Source organism: Homo sapiens, chromosome 1 (genome assembly GCF_000001405.40).
Source record: "Homo sapiens chromosome 1, GRCh38.p14 Primary Assembly".
Classification (NCBI taxonomy): domain Eukaryota; kingdom Metazoa; phylum Chordata; class Mammalia; order Primates; family Hominidae; genus Homo; species Homo sapiens.
Window position 1 is genome coordinate 10129514 of NC_000001.11, and position 16336 is coordinate 10145849.

The 16336-nt window shown below is 43.6% G+C and overlaps 1 protein-coding gene across 8 annotated transcripts in view; it reads left to right on the forward strand.

The window, feature by feature from the left end:
• The window catches only part of UBE4B (ubiquitination factor E4B), a 148282-nt gene that overhangs the window by 96556 nt on the left and 35390 nt on the right, over positions 1–16336 (forward strand). For all 8 annotated transcript variants that reach the window (NM_001410744.1, NM_001105562.3, NM_006048.5 and 5 more), the window contains 6 exons: positions 987–1103; positions 1202–1300; positions 2856–2969; positions 5475–5673; positions 7554–7692; positions 15427–15526. In NM_001410744.1, the coding sequence (NP_001397673.1) occupies positions 987–1103; positions 1202–1300; positions 2856–2969; positions 5475–5673; positions 7554–7692; positions 15427–15526 (768 nt within the window). The remainder of the gene's footprint in view (positions 1–986; positions 1104–1201; positions 1301–2855; positions 2970–5474; positions 5674–7553; positions 7693–15426; positions 15527–16336) is intronic.

Below are 16336 nucleotides of genomic sequence, written 5' to 3' on the forward strand. Positions count from 1 at the left end.
CTAGTGAGATGGCCTGGAAAATGTCTCTTGAAGGACATTTAGGTGTAGGCGGAGGTAACGTGTCTGGGAGGCTCTCAACTGTTACATTTTTGTTAGACACGTTATATCCTGCATTACAGTTGTTCATTTCTATGATTTTTTTCCCTTTTTTTTCTAAGAATCTCACTCTGTCACCCAGGCTGGATGGAGTGCAGTGGTGGGATCTTGGCACACTGCAGCCTACGCCTCCTGGGTTCAAGTGAGTCTCGTGCCTCAGCCTCCCAAGTAGCTGGGAATACAGGCATGCATTACCATGCGAGGCTAATTTTTTTGTATTTTTAGTAGAGATGGAGTTTTACCATGTTGGCCAGGCTGGTCTCGAACTACTGACCTCAGGTGATCCACCCGCCTCAGCCTCCCAAAGTGTTGGGTTACAGGCGTGAGCCACCGCACCGGGCCTGTTTTTTTTCCCTTGACAAGTATTGTACAACTAAACTAACAAGAGGTATGGAAAAGTTATTCGAGTCCTTTGGTGGTATAAGAAGAGTTCATTTGAACTTCATCCAATAGTATCCTGAAACTTAAACATTCTTTTTTTTGAGACAGAGTCTCACTCTGTCACCCAGGCTGGAGCGCAGTGGCGCAATCTCAGCTCACTGCAACCTCTGCCTCCTGGGTTCAAGCGATTCTCTTGGCCTCAGCCTCCCCAGTAGCTGGGATTACAGGCGCACACCACCACGCCCGGCTAATTTTTGTATTTTTAGTAGAGACGGGGTTTCTCCATGTTGGCCAGGGTTGTCTCGGACTCCTGACCTCAGGTGACCCACCCCCACCCACACTGGCCTCCCAAAGTGCTGGGATTACAGGCGTGAGCCACCATGCCTGGCTGAAACATAAAAGTTTTAATAATATCTTGTGAAAATACAGAGGAGCTGGAGAGTTTTCATTACATTTTTACCCCACCGGCCTGTTCAGCGGCTTGACTGGCTCTTCCATCTTCTGCCTAGGTTGCTTCTTTGCGGTTGTGGTTGCCGAAATCCTTAAGTCCTGGCTGTGGGCGGGAGCTGCAGAGACTCTCTTACTTAGGGGCTTTCTTTAGCTTCTCAGTCTTTGCAGAAGATGATGTAAGTATAGTGGCTACTTGTACTTTGCTGCCCTTTTATTCAGATTCTTTCCCAAATGTGCATTATATGTTGACTGCATTTTTTCCTTCTCTTTCCAGGTTAAAGTGGTTGAAAAATACTTCTCAGGGCCTGCCATTACCCTGGAAAACACTCGTGTGGTTAGCCAATCATTGCAGCATTACTTAGAGCTCGGAAGGGTAAGTGTTCAGAAAACAAATCCAGAGGAAGTATCAAAGATGAGCTCCAGATACAGAGCTTTTATTTTGTAGACTGGACTATGCCCAGTAGACAAACGGCTAACAAAAGCCAATTCGATCTTACATAAAAAAGATAAACTATAAGTAAGTAGCCTGTGTCTTGAATAACAGGTTGTAACAACAGCAGTATGCTGCCTTTGTATGTAGCATCACTGGGAACTGGTCCTAAGCTTAGTGGCCCGGCTCCTCCTCCAGCTGGCCCTTAGGCATTTACACTGTGAGGGTGAGCAAGGATTGTTAGTTTGCACACACCCTCACTGACTTGCTTATCCCAAATGCAGATTAATATGTCTTCAATTCTCAAACTTAAAGGCAGAGAAGGGCCGGGTGTGATGGCTCATGCCTGTAATCCCAACACTTTGGGAGGCCGAGTGGGGTGGATCACCTGAGGTCAGGAGTTTGAGAACAGCCTGGCCAACATGACGAAACCCCGTCTCTACTAAAAATACAAAAATTAGCCAGGCATGGCAGCGCGTGCCTGTAATCCCAGCTACCTAGCTACTCGGGAGGCTGAGGCACAAGGATCACTTGAACCCAGGAGGTGGAGGTTGCAGTGAGCCAAGATCACGCCACTGCACATCAGCCTGGGCGACAGAGCAAGACTCCATCTCAAAAAAAAGAAACAGGCAAAGAAGTTACAGGCTTGGGTAACTAAGGTAATTTTGATCATGGGAAAGAAGTAACAAAGCCTATTTTATTAAAACTGTAACTGCCGGCTGGGCGTGTTGGCTAATGCCTGTAATCCCAACACTTTGGGAGGCTGAGATGGGCTGATCACGAGGTCAGGAAGTCATCCTGGCCAACATGGTGAAACCTCGTCACTGCTAAAAATACAAAAATTGGCCAAGGCAGGTGGATCACGAGGTCAGCAGTTTGAGACCAGCCTGACCAACATGGTGAAACCCCATCTCTACTAAAATACAAAAAAAATTAGCTGGGCATGGTGGCGGGTGCCTGTAATCCCAGCGACTTGGGAGGCTGAGGCAGGAGAATCGCTTGAAACCGGGAGGCGGAGGTTGCACTGAGCCGAGATGTGCCACTGCACTTTAGCCTGGGCAATAAGAGCAAAACTCCGTCTCAAAAAAAAAAACAACAAAAATGCAAAAACTAGCTGGGTGTGGCGGCGTGTGCCTGTAATCCCAACTACTCGGGAGGCTGAGGCAGGAGAATGGCTTGAACCTGGGAGGCGCAGGTTGCAGTGAGCTGAGATTGCACCACTGCACTCCAGCCTGGCAACAGAGCTAGACTCTGTCTCAAAAAAAAACAAAAAACTGTAACTGCCTACCTCCCCCACTCCATATTCTGCTTTCATGCTCATTACTTTGACATAGTTGGATGTGGATATTTCTTATATTCTTTCACTCAGGCTCTTCTAAAATGAGTAGAAGTGGGAGAGGAGAGAACGTGGGAAGTAGGCTAGCTGTTCGTGAAGTCAAAAAGGAATCATGTGCAAAATAGTTTTAATTTGTTTCTTCTTTTTAAAAATAAATTTCAGCAAGAGCTTTTTAAGATTCTGCATAGTATTTTGTTAAATGGCGAAACCCGTGAGGCTGCTCTCAGTTACATGGCGGCTGTCGTCAATGCCAATATGAAGAAAGCACAGATGCAGGTAGGATTCCTACAGACTGCTTTTCGCTGTTTGTCAAATTCATTCATCTGACCCAGATTTAGTCAGCACCTACCAGGCACTGTTCTAGGAGTGGGGGTACAGTATTGAACAAGGTAGACGAGCTTCCTGCTTTTGTGGAGCCCATGTTCCACAGAATAAACAAGTAGACATATAAATACATGATTTTAGACAGTTGTATAATCAGTGAAGAAAATAGAGCAAAGTAAATGACATGAGAAGAACTGTAGGTACCAGAAGGAAGATCTGAAGGTGATTTTTGATTGGGTGGCAGGAAAGGCCTCCCTGAGGAGGTGACATTTGTTTCATAGGAAGGAGCCAGCCATTGTAGTGGCTGAGAAAAGAGCTATCCAATGTGGAAACGAAGCAGCTTTGGTACAAGCCCAGCACGCAGGCTTTTGTGGCTGGAGAAGAGTGAACAGGAGGGAATGTCGGGTCCTGGAGTTAGTGGATAGGCAGGGCGCCATCGGGTTAGGTTTACGTGATCAGAACTGTCATGGGAGGGTTTTCAGCAGGGAAACCACAAAAGCTGCTATGTAGACGGACCAAAACAGAAGGGGGCAGCCAGGAACAGACCCAAGGGGGCAGCCAGGAACAGACCCAAGAAGGCAGCTGCAAGGGCGTGAGTGCTTCGGTCCGGGTGAGACAGGCCAGTGGCTGCAGCTGCTTTGCCAGAGGAGAAAAGGGCATCCTTCCTTGACTAGTAATAAATAATGAATGAATGATGTGATGTGTATACTCAGAAGCAAAAATCATGTAGAGAGAAGAGCACAGATCTTGTGATTTCTGATCGTGGTTCCACCGTTTACTAACTGCGGGACCTTAGACAGTGACTCCTCTGTGCCTCCATTTCCTCATCTGCTAAGCTGCGGTACTACTGGTACTGGGTTTATTATATATAAAGCTGTTAGAGTGGTGCCTGGTACACAGTGATCACTCAACCAATATTAACTATCATTCTTATCATTGTTGTATTATTATTTTTTTCTTAACAGAGGTAATCAAGTTACATTGTTATATTGCTAATGCAGGAGCATGCTGATGCTGTCACCTAGAGAAACAATGTCACATGATAAGAAGTGGAGCAACTTGTTTTGATGCTCTTGAGGGAAATAAAGAGGAGAAAGAGGCCGGGCATGGTGGCTCACGCCTGTAATCTCAGCACTTTGGGAGGCCGAGGTGGGAGGATCACTTGAGCCCAGGCATTTGAGACCAGCCCTGGCGACATAATGAGACCCCATCTCTACAAAATATACAAAAGTCATCTGGGCATGGTGGCTGGTGCATGCCTATAGTTTCAGCTACTTGGGAGGCTGAGGCAAGAGGATCACTTGAGCCAGGGAGGTCGAGACCAGCCTGGGCAACATAGGGAGACCCTGTCTCTACAAAAAAAATAAAAAATTAGCCAGTATAGTGGCATAGACCTGTAGACCCAGTTATTCAGGAGGCTGAAGTGGGAGGATCACTTAAGCCCGGGAGGTTGAGGCTGCAGTGAGCTATGTTTGCACCACTGCACTACAGCCTGGGCAACAGAGTAAAACCCTGTCTCAAAAAAAAAAAAGAAAGAAAGAAAGAAACATTTATTGTGTTTCTACTTACTAATTTTGAGCCTCAGGCAAATCACTTCAGGGTCTCTGAGTCTTTATTTCCTCCTGCATAAAATGTTAACAGCAGTATTACTGACCTGTAAGAATTATCGTGATGGTTCAGTAAAAGAATGTATAAAATGGCCAAGCGTGGTGGCTCATGCCTGTAATCCCAGCAATTTGGGAGGCCGAGACGGGCGTATCACCTGAGGTCAGGAGTTCGAGACCAGCCTGGCCAATATGGTGAAACCCCATCTCTACTAAAAATACAAAAAATTTGCCGGGCGTGGTGGCGGGTGCCTGTAATCCCAGCTACTCGGGAGGCTGAGGCAAGAGAATCACTTGAACCCGGGAGGCGGAGGTTGTAGTGAGCGAGGATCGTGCCACTGCATTCTAGCCTGGGCAACAAGAGTGGAACTCCATCTCAAAAAAAAGAAAAGAAAAGAAAAGAATGTATAAAATGCCTCTTATATAAATAATAATTATATAATAGGCGGTATTCAACAAGTAGCACCTGCTAATATAGAATTAATGGAATGACAGTGGTGATGAGATATATGTCTTCTCATTGACTTTAGGATACAGTTATGTTTGAAAGTTCAGTCTGCTTTCTTACAAAGTTTGCCAAAATTTCTATTCATGTTATTTTAAATACTTTTTCTTGGCTGGTCACAGTGGCTCACACCTGTAATCCCAGCACTTTGGGAAGCTGAGGTGGGCGGATCACTTTAGGTCCCAGCTACTTGGGAGGCTAAGGTGGGAGGATTGCTTGAGCCTGGGAGGTGGAGGTTGCAGCCAAGATCACACCCCTTCGCTCCAGCCTGGGCAACAGAGTGAGACCCCATCTCAAAAAAAATTTTTTTTAATGTTTAAAAATACTTTTTCTTTTCAACTTTCACAGACAGATGATAGATTGGTGTCTACAGATGGATTTATGCTGAATTTCCTTTGGGTACTGCAGCAGCTAAGTACAAAAATCAAGTTAGAAACAGTTGATCCCACGTATATTTTTCACCCAAGATGTCGGATTACTCTTCCCAATGATGAGACGCGTGTGAATGCAACGATGGAAGATGTGAATGACTGGCTGACTGAACTCTGTGAGTACTGTGTTCGTGACTCGGTCATTAAAACACTGCCCTCTTGTCTGTGTGCTAGTAGTTCCTCACAGATTGTTACCACCTCACCATAAAATGAACTTAAGAGATAGAGAAACATAATAAAAATTAATACAGTAGGCCTGGCGTGGTGACTCATACCTATAATCCCAGCACTTTGGGAGGCCGAGGCAGGTGGATCACGAGGTCAGGAGTTCAAGACCAGCCTGACCACCGTGGTGAAACCCCGTCTCTACTAAAAATACAAAAATTAGCTGGGCATGGTGGCACACGCCTGTAATCCCAGCACTTTGGGAGGCTGAGGTGGGCAGATCAAAAGGTCCGGAGTTCATGACCAGCCTGATCACCATGGTGAAACCCCATCTCTACTAAAAATACAAAAATTAGCGGGTGTGGTGGCACGCACCTGTAATCCCAGCTACTCAGGAGGCTGAGGCAGGAGAATTGTGTGAACCCAGGAGGCTGAGCTTGCAGTGAGCCATGATCACGGCACTGCACTCCAGCCTGGGCAACAGAGTGAGACTCTGTCTCAAAAAAAAAAAAAAAACAGATACAAATTGAAAAAAAAAATCAAGTTATCATAATATATCTATAAAAAAGCCAAAACCAAAGTGATAAAATAGAATGTAAGTTTTTGAAGAAGTAGGTGATATTTAATCAATTTATTTAACCTATCTGAAGTGAATTCTGGTGATTCATAGCAAAAAATATAATACTGTTGTTCTCAATAATTCTACTTTTCAGGTTATATTCCCAAAGTTGGAGGAAAAAGGAATAATTTTGTTTACATAAATCCTCCCAGTAGTAACATTATTTATAATAGAAAAAAATTAGAAAAAAGAAATATGCAGGGAAACGGCTCTGGAATCAGTAGTTTATTAACATAATTTAATACCATTTCGAGATTTAAATATTTCTGTATTGTGTTGAAAAATGGAGATTTTATACAATACATCAGTAAGGAACATCACCAAAGATTGTTGATGGGCTGGGAATGGTGGCTCACATCCATAATCCCAGCACTTTTGGAAGCTGAGGTGGGAGGAGAGCTTGAGCCCAGGAGTTCAAGACCAGCCTGGGCAAAATAAGGAAACCCCATGTCTACAAAGAAAAAAATTAGCCCAGCATGGTGGCACATGCCTGTGTTCCCAGCCACCCAGGAGACTGAGGCAGGAGGATTGCCTGAGCCCAGGAAATTGAGGCTGCAGTGATCTGTGATCTTACCACTGCACTGCACTGCAGCCTAGGTGACACTAGGTGACAGAGTAAGACCCTCTTAAAAAAAAAAAAAAAAAAAGATTGTGATGGACATCTGTATGCACATTTAACGAGGTAGGACAGAATACGGTGGTCCTTGAATGGAGCTAACAGGAATTCTCTTCTTCTTGTAGTATTGTTTAAGTTTATAATTGCAAAAGTATCCTTAAACTTCTGGCGGGGCATGGTGGCTCACGCCTGTAATCCCAGCACTTTGGGAGGCCAAGGAGGGTAGATTGCCTGAGGTCAGGAGTTCGAGACCAGTCTGAGCAACATGGTGAAACCTCGTCTCTCCTAAAAATGCAAAAGTAGCCAGGTGTGGTAGCACACGCCTGTAATCCCAGCTTACTAGGGAGGCTGAGGCAGGAGAATCACTTGAACCTGGGAGGCGGAATTTGCAGTAAGCCAAGATCGTGCCATTGCACTTCTGCCTGGGTGACGAGAGCAAAAGTCCATCTCAAATAAATAAATAAATAAATAAACAAATAAAAAGTATCTTTAAACTTCATAAAAATTCAAATGTAATTTTCTCTTCTGAATTCAGCTTTTTCTCTGATTGAGACATGTAATAGATTTTATTTAGGGAATGATGTTATTTTTCCTAGATGGCGATCAGCCTCCATTTTCTGAGCCGAAATTCCCTACGGAGTGCTTCTTTCTCACCCTGCATGCTCACCACCTCTCTATTCTGCCTAGTTGCCGTCGCTATATCCGCAGACTCCGGGCTATCCGGGAGCTCAATAGGTATGTGCCATGATACCGTGTCCTGGGATTGCCTGAGTTACCACTTTTTCTCAGGGGCAGGCAATTCCATTGTGAACAGTAGTTTTGAATGTTGGGGGAGGTATGTACGTTATATAGTGTTCTGTCTGCCTCCACCGCCACATCCATGTTGCTCAGTTGTCCAGAGTTCTTTACCTGGTGAAGTGATCCAAACCTTGATTTCTGAGAGTTCTGAACCCTGGATATTTCACTCTGTTTATGGTTACTACAGACTTCCATTAACTTTTCCCACTGGGCATACATTACCAGGAGGCACTTCAAACTTTAAAAGTTTAAAGGATCCCCTGGGTTTCAGACATACCCCTTCTTCCCTGGACTGTGAAAAAGTAACCATGGTTTCCCTTGATAACCAGGATCATTTACTCCTGCCTACATGTAATTCTCTTTTTGGCTTGTTCTGTGGCATGAGGGGTCCAAAATGGCCAGATAGCAGCCTCAAATTTCCAATTCATTAGCACCATGGTTGTGTTTCTTACTCTAAGCATTTTTTCCTGTGTACTAACACCAACAAACAGAAGTCACAGGAACACAGAAGCAAATATTTTTGAGCAGGTTATCTGGAATAATAATGATGCCACTTCTGCTTTTTGGTCTAGAACCTGCGTAGTCTGTCTATGAGAGAAACTGAATCATATTTATATCTCTGTATCTACCTTGCTTAAATCACTTACTAATTCTTTTTTTTTTTTTTTTTTTTTTTTTTTTTTTGAGACGGAGTCTCGCTCTGTTGCCCAGGCTGGAGTGCAGTGGTACGATCTCAGCTCGGTGCAACCTCTGCCTCCCAGGTTCAAGCGATTCTCCTGCTTCAGCCTCCCGAGTAGCTGGGATTACAGATGTGCACCACCACGCCTGGCCAATTTTTTTTTTTTTTTTGATGGAGTCTCACTCTGTAGTCCAGGCTGGAGTCCAATGGCATGATCTCGGCTCACTGTAATCTCTGCCGCCTGGGTTCAAGCAATTCTCCTGTCTCAGTCTCCTGAGTAGCTGGGACTACAGGCGCCCACCACCACACCCAGCTAATTTTTTGTATTTTTAGTAGAGACGGGGTTTCACCGTGTTAGCCAGGATAGTCTTGATCTCCTGACCTCGTGATCCGCCCGCCTCAGCCTCCCAAAGTGCTGGAATTACAGGCGTGAGCCCATGCACCTGGCCCAATTTTTTGTATTTTTTGTAGAGACGGGGTTTCTCCATGTTGGTCAGGCTGGTCTCAAATTCCTGACCTCAGGCGATCCGACTGCCTCCGCCTCCCAAAGTGCTGAGATTACAGGTGTGAGCCACCGTGCCTGGCCTAAAATCACTTACTAATTCTAATAGTTAACTCTGCAAATTCTTTATGATTTACTTTCTACACATAATCATGTCTATAAATGATGACAATTTTATTTCTTTTACTTTTTTTTTCATGCCTTAGTGCCCAGGCTGTAATTTTTAGTACAATGTTGAATAGAAATAACCTTGAAATTTCCATCTTGTTTCAGTTGGTGGAGGAAAGCTTTCTATATATCCTCAGTTACCAGATTAAGAAAATTTCCTTTTATTTCAATAGTTAGTTCCCTTAGCACTGGTTGAATTTTATTAAATACTTTTGCCATATCTGTTGAGGAGACTAGACTTTTTTCTTCTCTATTCTGTTAATGTGGTTGAATTATATCAGTTGGTTTTCTGTTATTAAACCAGTCTTTCTTTCCTGGAGTAAACTTAACTTTTATATTAATGTTTTTATATCTAATTGGATATACAATTTGCTAATATTCTGTTTAGGATTTTTGCATCTGTTCAAAAGAAAGCCTGACCTGTAATTTTCATTTCTTGTTAAGTGCATCTCAAATTTTGGTATCAAGGTTATGCTGCCTTATAGAAGAAACTGGGGGCTGGGCACAGTGGCTTACGCCTGTAATCCCAACACTTTGGGAGGCCGAGGCAGACGGATCACCTGAGGTCAGGAGTTGGATGCTAGCCTGGCCAACATAGTGAAAACCCGTCTCTACTACAAAAATTAGCTGGGCATGGTTGGCGCATGCCTGTAATCCCAGCTACTTGGGAGGCTATAGCAGGAGAGTCGCTTGAACCCGGGAGGCGGAGGTTGTAGTGAGCCAAGACCGAGCCACTGTACTCCAGCCTGAGCAAGAGTGAGACTCTGTCTCAACAAAAGAAAAAAAAAAAGAAAGAACTGGAGAATATTCTCCTGTTTTTTATGTTCCCTGGAAGAGTTTATTGTATAAGAATTATGTTGTTTCTTCCTTAAATGTCAGAAAAAATTCAGTGATGAAGTTGTCAGGGCTTAAGAGTTTTCTGTGTGGGGATGTTTTTAATTATGGATTTAAGACAGTTAATATATATAAGACTATTTAGATTTTCATTACATCTTGTGTCAGTTTTTCTAAAGTTTGAAAATGTTTTGGCATGAAGTTGTTCATAATATCCTTTTATCATTTTAATGTCTGTAGGATCCTTATTATTTCTGCTTTTATTTATTTATTTTAGTTTTTGAGAGGAGGTTCACTCTTGTTGCCCAGGCTTGTTGCCCAGGCAGGAGTGCAATGGTGCAATCTTGGCTCACCTCAACCTCTGCCTCCCAGGTTCAAGTGATTCTCCTGCCTCAGCCTCCTGAGTAGCTGGGATTACAGGCATGTGCCACCACGCCCAGCTAATTTTGTATTTTTAGTAGAGACAGGGTTTCTCCATGTTGGTCAGGCTGGTCTCGAACTCCTGACCTCAGGTGATTTGCCTGCCTAGGCCTTGCTGGGATTACAGGTGTGAGCCACTGCACCCGGCCCATTTTAATTGGCTTTCTACTGCCTCTTGAGATGGATATTTAGATCATCCTTTCCAACCCTTTCGCTTATGTGTATATTTAAGACTATTTTGTTTCCCTCTTAGTGTGACCTTAGCTGCATCCCTCATTTTTGTTATATCATATCTTATTACTCAGTTCAAAATGTTTTCTAATTTTTGTTTGTTCTTATGTAACCTGTGGGTTATTTCAAAATATATTATTTAAATTCTAGGTTCTTAGGGTATTTGTCTATGTATCTTTTGTTAATTGATTTCTAGATAAATTCCATCATGGTAAGAAAATATATTTTATGTGATTTGTGTCTTTTGAAGTTTATTGAAATTTACTTTATAGCCTTTTACATTAGTAGACCTGAAAAGACTGCTATCTGTGTTGTTTTTACAGTGTTCCACATATATTATTTAGGTCAAGTTTGTTAATTTTCTGTTCAAGTTTTCCTTATATCTAATGATTTTATCAGCTTATAATATCAATCACTGAGAGAAGCTTATAAAAAATTCAAACTATGATTGTGGATTTATCTGTTTCTTTATCCTCCGATGGATTACCTCCTGGGATACAGTCACTCCCGCTGGCTTTAGAGGGTCCATTTCAATGGAACCATCTAGAACCTTTGCTCCTGGCTTGCAGCAGATAGCCTTTATTGTGCTTTCCAGAGACATTTATGTTCACCTCATCTGTGTATTTTTCAATGCTGTGATTTAAGAAGTATCTTCTAGGACATAGTTGGGGTGTGTATATGCGTATTGGAAAGAGGATTATCTGAGCAAATCACATAAAGTAAATCCACCTTAATTTTCCAAGCTCTTTAAGTTTTGAATCATTTCCTCTGAATTAGATCAAAGAATATTTGGCAACTCAGCTTCATTCAGTATAGGTCACTGTCAATTCAAAGTTTGGGTCAACTAGTTGGTTGCATAATATGAACCTCTCCCAACTCAGAATAATACTGAATTCAGGGTCTCTGGTAGGTATAATCATGTCAGTGATTTTAGCCCTACATAGAAGTATATCAGCATTTTCTTCTCTTGCTGATCAAGCATCCTCAGAATCCATTCCCATACATAATCCTACATAACCGTCATGTTTCTGCAGTACATATGTGGTTGGTAGAGTAATGGCATCTCAAAGGTGCCCACATCCTGGTCTCGGAACCTGTGAATATGTTATCTAACTTGATTAAAGGGACTTTGCAGCTGTGATATCAGGTTCATGATCTTGAGGTGGGGAGATTATCCTGGATTATGTGGGTAGGTCCAGTGTCATTGCAAAGGTCTTCATAAGAGGGAATCAGGAGGGTCACAGGGAGAGACGGAATGTGATGGGGAAGCAGAGGTTGGAGTGGTTTGGGGTCATGAGCCAATCCGGTAACCTCTGGAAGCTGGAAAAGGCGAGGAAACTTGTTCTCCCCTAGAGCCTCCAGAAGGAACCATCCCTGCTGACCCCTTTTAGACTTCCAGAACTCTAAGACTATAATTGTGTGGTTTGGAGCCACTGAGGTTGTGGTAACTTGTTACAGCAGCAATAGAAAACTAGCATAACACATTAGCAAATCTTGCCATTTTTTTTCTTCAAATATGTGCTTCTGTTGCATCCAATTTTGTAATAATGCCATAAGGACAGTCCTTGATCTGACTCTAGCTGTGGTTCTGGAAGCGAAGAGGGATGATGGGTTAGAACCTAGGGGAAAATAGCATTACCCTGCAAGGTGACTATCTCTGATGAGGTCATTATAGAAACTGCTTCTGCTAGCAAGCAAGGCTCAGGGAATTTAGAGATTTAGGTACTTGGAGTCAGCTAGTTCTCCCAAACTCCTCCATTTGAACTCTTTGGGTCCCAGTCTTTGCCTTAACTTTCAGATAAGAGGTCCAGCAAAGTTATTAATTTCTTCTGTACTGTAATTTGTAGAACTGGAGCTGCTCCTTTCCTTTAACAACAGTCTTAGAAACTCCTGATTAATTCACATTTCCTGGAGATAAGAATTTAAAATCTGAAGCCTGTCATTTTTTTTTTTCTATAAGCTCCACCACATAATTAGAGGTAGCCACTCCACATCCTCATTCCAGATCACCAGGGATCATGTATATAGCTGTTTTTCTACTCAGAGCCTTGGGCTACCAGTGTTCCATCCTCAAATACTAATTGTATCTTCACCATGCAGCCCAATCAAAGAACTGATCCCAGAGCCCCATTTTTTTCATGAAGGCCTGTTACCTATAAACTCTTGTGATACCCGTAGCCATATAGGTCATTATCTTAGTTTCCTATGACTGCAACAACAAATTACCACAACTTTAGTCACTTAAAACAACACATATTACAGTTCTGAAGGTCAGGAGTCCTAAAATCGGCCCAGCGCAGTGGCTCACGCCTGTAATCCCAACACTGGGAGGCCGAGGTGGGCAGATCACATGAGGTCAGGAGTTCGAGACCAGCCTGGCCAACATGGTGAAACCTCGTCACTACTAAAAATACAAAAATTAGCCGGTCATGGTAGTGCATGCATGTAGTCCCAGCTACTCAAGAGGTTGAGGCAGGAGAATCGCTTGAACACGGGAGACGGAGGTTGCAGTGAGCTGAGATTGCGCCACTGCACTCCAGCCTGGGAGACAGAGCGAGACTGTCTCAAAAAAAGAAGATGAAGGTTGCATTCCCTGCAGAGGCTCTAGGGGAGAATCTCCTTTGCCTTTTCCATCTTCTGAAAGCTGCCTACGTTCCTCTGCTCCTTATCACCCCCCACCCCACCCCACCTTACTGTATTTTCAAAGCCAGCAACATAGTATCTTTAGATCTCCTTCGCTTGCCTGGTGTATCGCAGCACTTTGGGAGGCTGAGGTGGGTGGATCACTTGAAGTCAGGAGTTTGAGACCCGCCTGGCCAACATGGTGAAACCCTTTTCTACCAAAAAATACAAAAATTAGCCAGGCATGGTAACGCACCCCTGTAGTCGCCACTACTCAGGAGGCTGAGGTACGAGAATTATTTGAACCCAGGAGGTAGAGGTTGCAATGAGCTGAGATCGTGCCACTGCACTCCAGGGCAACAGAGTGAGAGACCCTGTCTCAAAAAAGCAAAAAACAAGGCTGGGCACGTGTCTGACACCTGTAATCCCATCACTTTGGGAGGCCAAGGCAGGTGGATCATTTGAGGTCAGAAGTTCGAGATCAGCCTGGCCAACATGTTGAAACCCCATCTCTACTAAAAATATAAGTTAGCCAGGCCTGGTGGCAGGTGTCTATAATTCCAGCTACTTGGGAGGCTGTGGCAGGAGAATCGCTTCAACCCGGGAGTCAGAGGTTGCAGTGAGCCAGATGATGCCAGTTTACTCCAGCCTGGGCAATAGAGTGAGGCTCAGTCTAAAAAAAAAAGACAACAACAAGATCTCCTTCTCTCTCTGACCTTTGCTTCCATTGTCCCATTGTCACATCTCCTTCTCTGTCTCTGAGTCCTTTTTTCTCTTAGAAGGACCTTTGTGATTATATTGGGCCCTCCAAAATCATCCAAGATACTCTTCCCATCTCAAATCCATACCCTTAATCACATCTACAACGTCCCTTTCGCCATGGGAGATCACATGTTCACAGGTTCCCTCGAAGGATTCGGATGCGACAAGTTTGGAGGAGCCATTCTTTTGTCTACCATACTCATGTTTCAGTTGTAGACGAAAGAATCCAATTCTTCTGGGATAAGCAGAAAGGGGAACTAGTTGGTTTACTGAATCATTGGAATGGCTATAATAGAAGATTCCCAGAGCTATACTTTGAACAAGGAAGCTGCTTCGGAGGTCAGCCTGACAGCACAGCCTCTGCCACAGCTTCAGCCAAAACCCCTCTACCACTGTACTTCCAGAAGGATCATGCAATCACGCAGTCACTTCACAGTACTCACTCTGCCTTCAGTGAGGGTTCATCTTGGTGAAAACTAGGTCTTACAGAAATGCTGGCAGGAGGGGAGTCTAGGAAATGTAGCTTTTGGAGATTTAGCAGCCTCTAGTATTACACACAACATCATGATAGAAAGGGGTTGAAATAGTGTTAAGAGAGTCGGTCTTCAAAATATGCAGCCTATTAGGTGATGGGGAAGCCTTTTACTGCAGAGACAGATGGTGTTTGAGCAGACACCTGAGGGGAGTGAAGGAGCAAAGCCAGAGATAACCTCAGAGAAGAGCATTGCGAGCAGAGGGAACAGTTGTAAAGGACGATGCCGTTAGTAAAATAGCCTTTTGTTTTGGGTAATTGAATAGGCAAAGTAACCTCGAATTTTCATGAGAGACTTCTTTTTTTCCCTCCCAGAAAAATAAGGGAACAATGTACTTTCTTGCAACAAAAAAGATGATTATATTCACCAAATCTGTAGTGCCATCCATTCAAAGACACATCATTGTTTTAGGAACCAATAAAAAAGAAAAATATGGCCCGACGCAGTGGCTCATGCCTGTAATCCCAGCACTTTGGGAGGCTGGGGCAGGCAGACCACAAGGTCAGGAGTTTGAGACCAGCCTGCCCAACATAGTGAAACCTCATCTCTACTAAAAATAGAAAAAATTAGCTGGGCATGGTGGTGAGCACCTGTAATCCCAGCTACTTGGGAGTTTGAGGCAGGAGAATCACTTGAACCCAGGAGGCGGAGGTTGCAGTGAGCTGAGATTGCAGCACTGCACTCCAGCCTGGTGACAGAGCGAGACTCTGTCTTAAAAAAAAAAAAAAAAGAAAGAAAGAAAGAAAAATGCTGCCAATTAAACTATGATTTGCCGCTGGTTGTAAGATATACTCTGATTTTAAAGATGTTACAATGCGAAAACAAACAACTGCGTGTGAGAGTCAGTGAAATGAGCAAGATGAATGGGTAAGATGGATCCGGCTGTTTTCTTTCATTTGACTGTTAGTCTTTGATTTCAGAACTGTAGAAGATTTGAAAAATAATGAAAGCCAATGGAAAGATTCCCCACTGGCAACTAGACACCGCGAAATGCTGAAGCGCTGTAAAACTCAGCTTAAGGTTTGTATAGCTAAGTGGAATAATTATAGACCAGCCTCATAGTGATAATTTTCCCAACAGAATATATGCCTTGAGTGAGCAGTTTAGTGTCCTCACTTTTTCTTTGTTATTCTTTTCCCTTCCAATAAAATAGTATATTTTAAAACTTGTTGATACCTTACTTATATGTGTATATAATGATTTCAGTCTCAGGACAGAATATGGATAGATATGCTTCTGCTGTGATTATGAATTCTTAATGGGTTTTATGATTCTCAGTTTAACATCACCTCCCTTGGCCGGGCGCAGTGGCTCACACCTGTAATCCCAGCACTTTGGGAGGCCTAGGCGGGCGGATCACGAGGTCAGGAGATGGAGACCATCCTGGCTAACACGGTGAAACCCCGTCTCTACTAAAAATACAAAAAAAAATTAGCCGGGCGTGATGGCGGGCGCCTGTAGTCCCAGCTACTCAGGAGGCTAAGGCAGGAGAATGGCATGAACCCAGGAGGCAGAGCTTGCAGTGAGCCAAGATGGCGCCACTGCACTCCAGCCTGGGCGACAGAGCGAGACTCCGTCTCAAAAAAAAAAAGACAACAACAACAAAAATCACCTCTCCTTCCCTGCCTTATGCAGGGCCCTCCTCACCTGCTGTCTCCCACCCCTCGCCCCAACACTCATCCAGTATATCTAGCCATGCATTTCCATGATATTTGACAAAGAGTATCTGTGGTAGTGGAAAGATCTCTTTCCTTTGCCCCTCATTCTTTCTTTTTAATTGAAATTGATTCATCACACAAAACCTAACTATAGATGGGAATATTCTTGCTG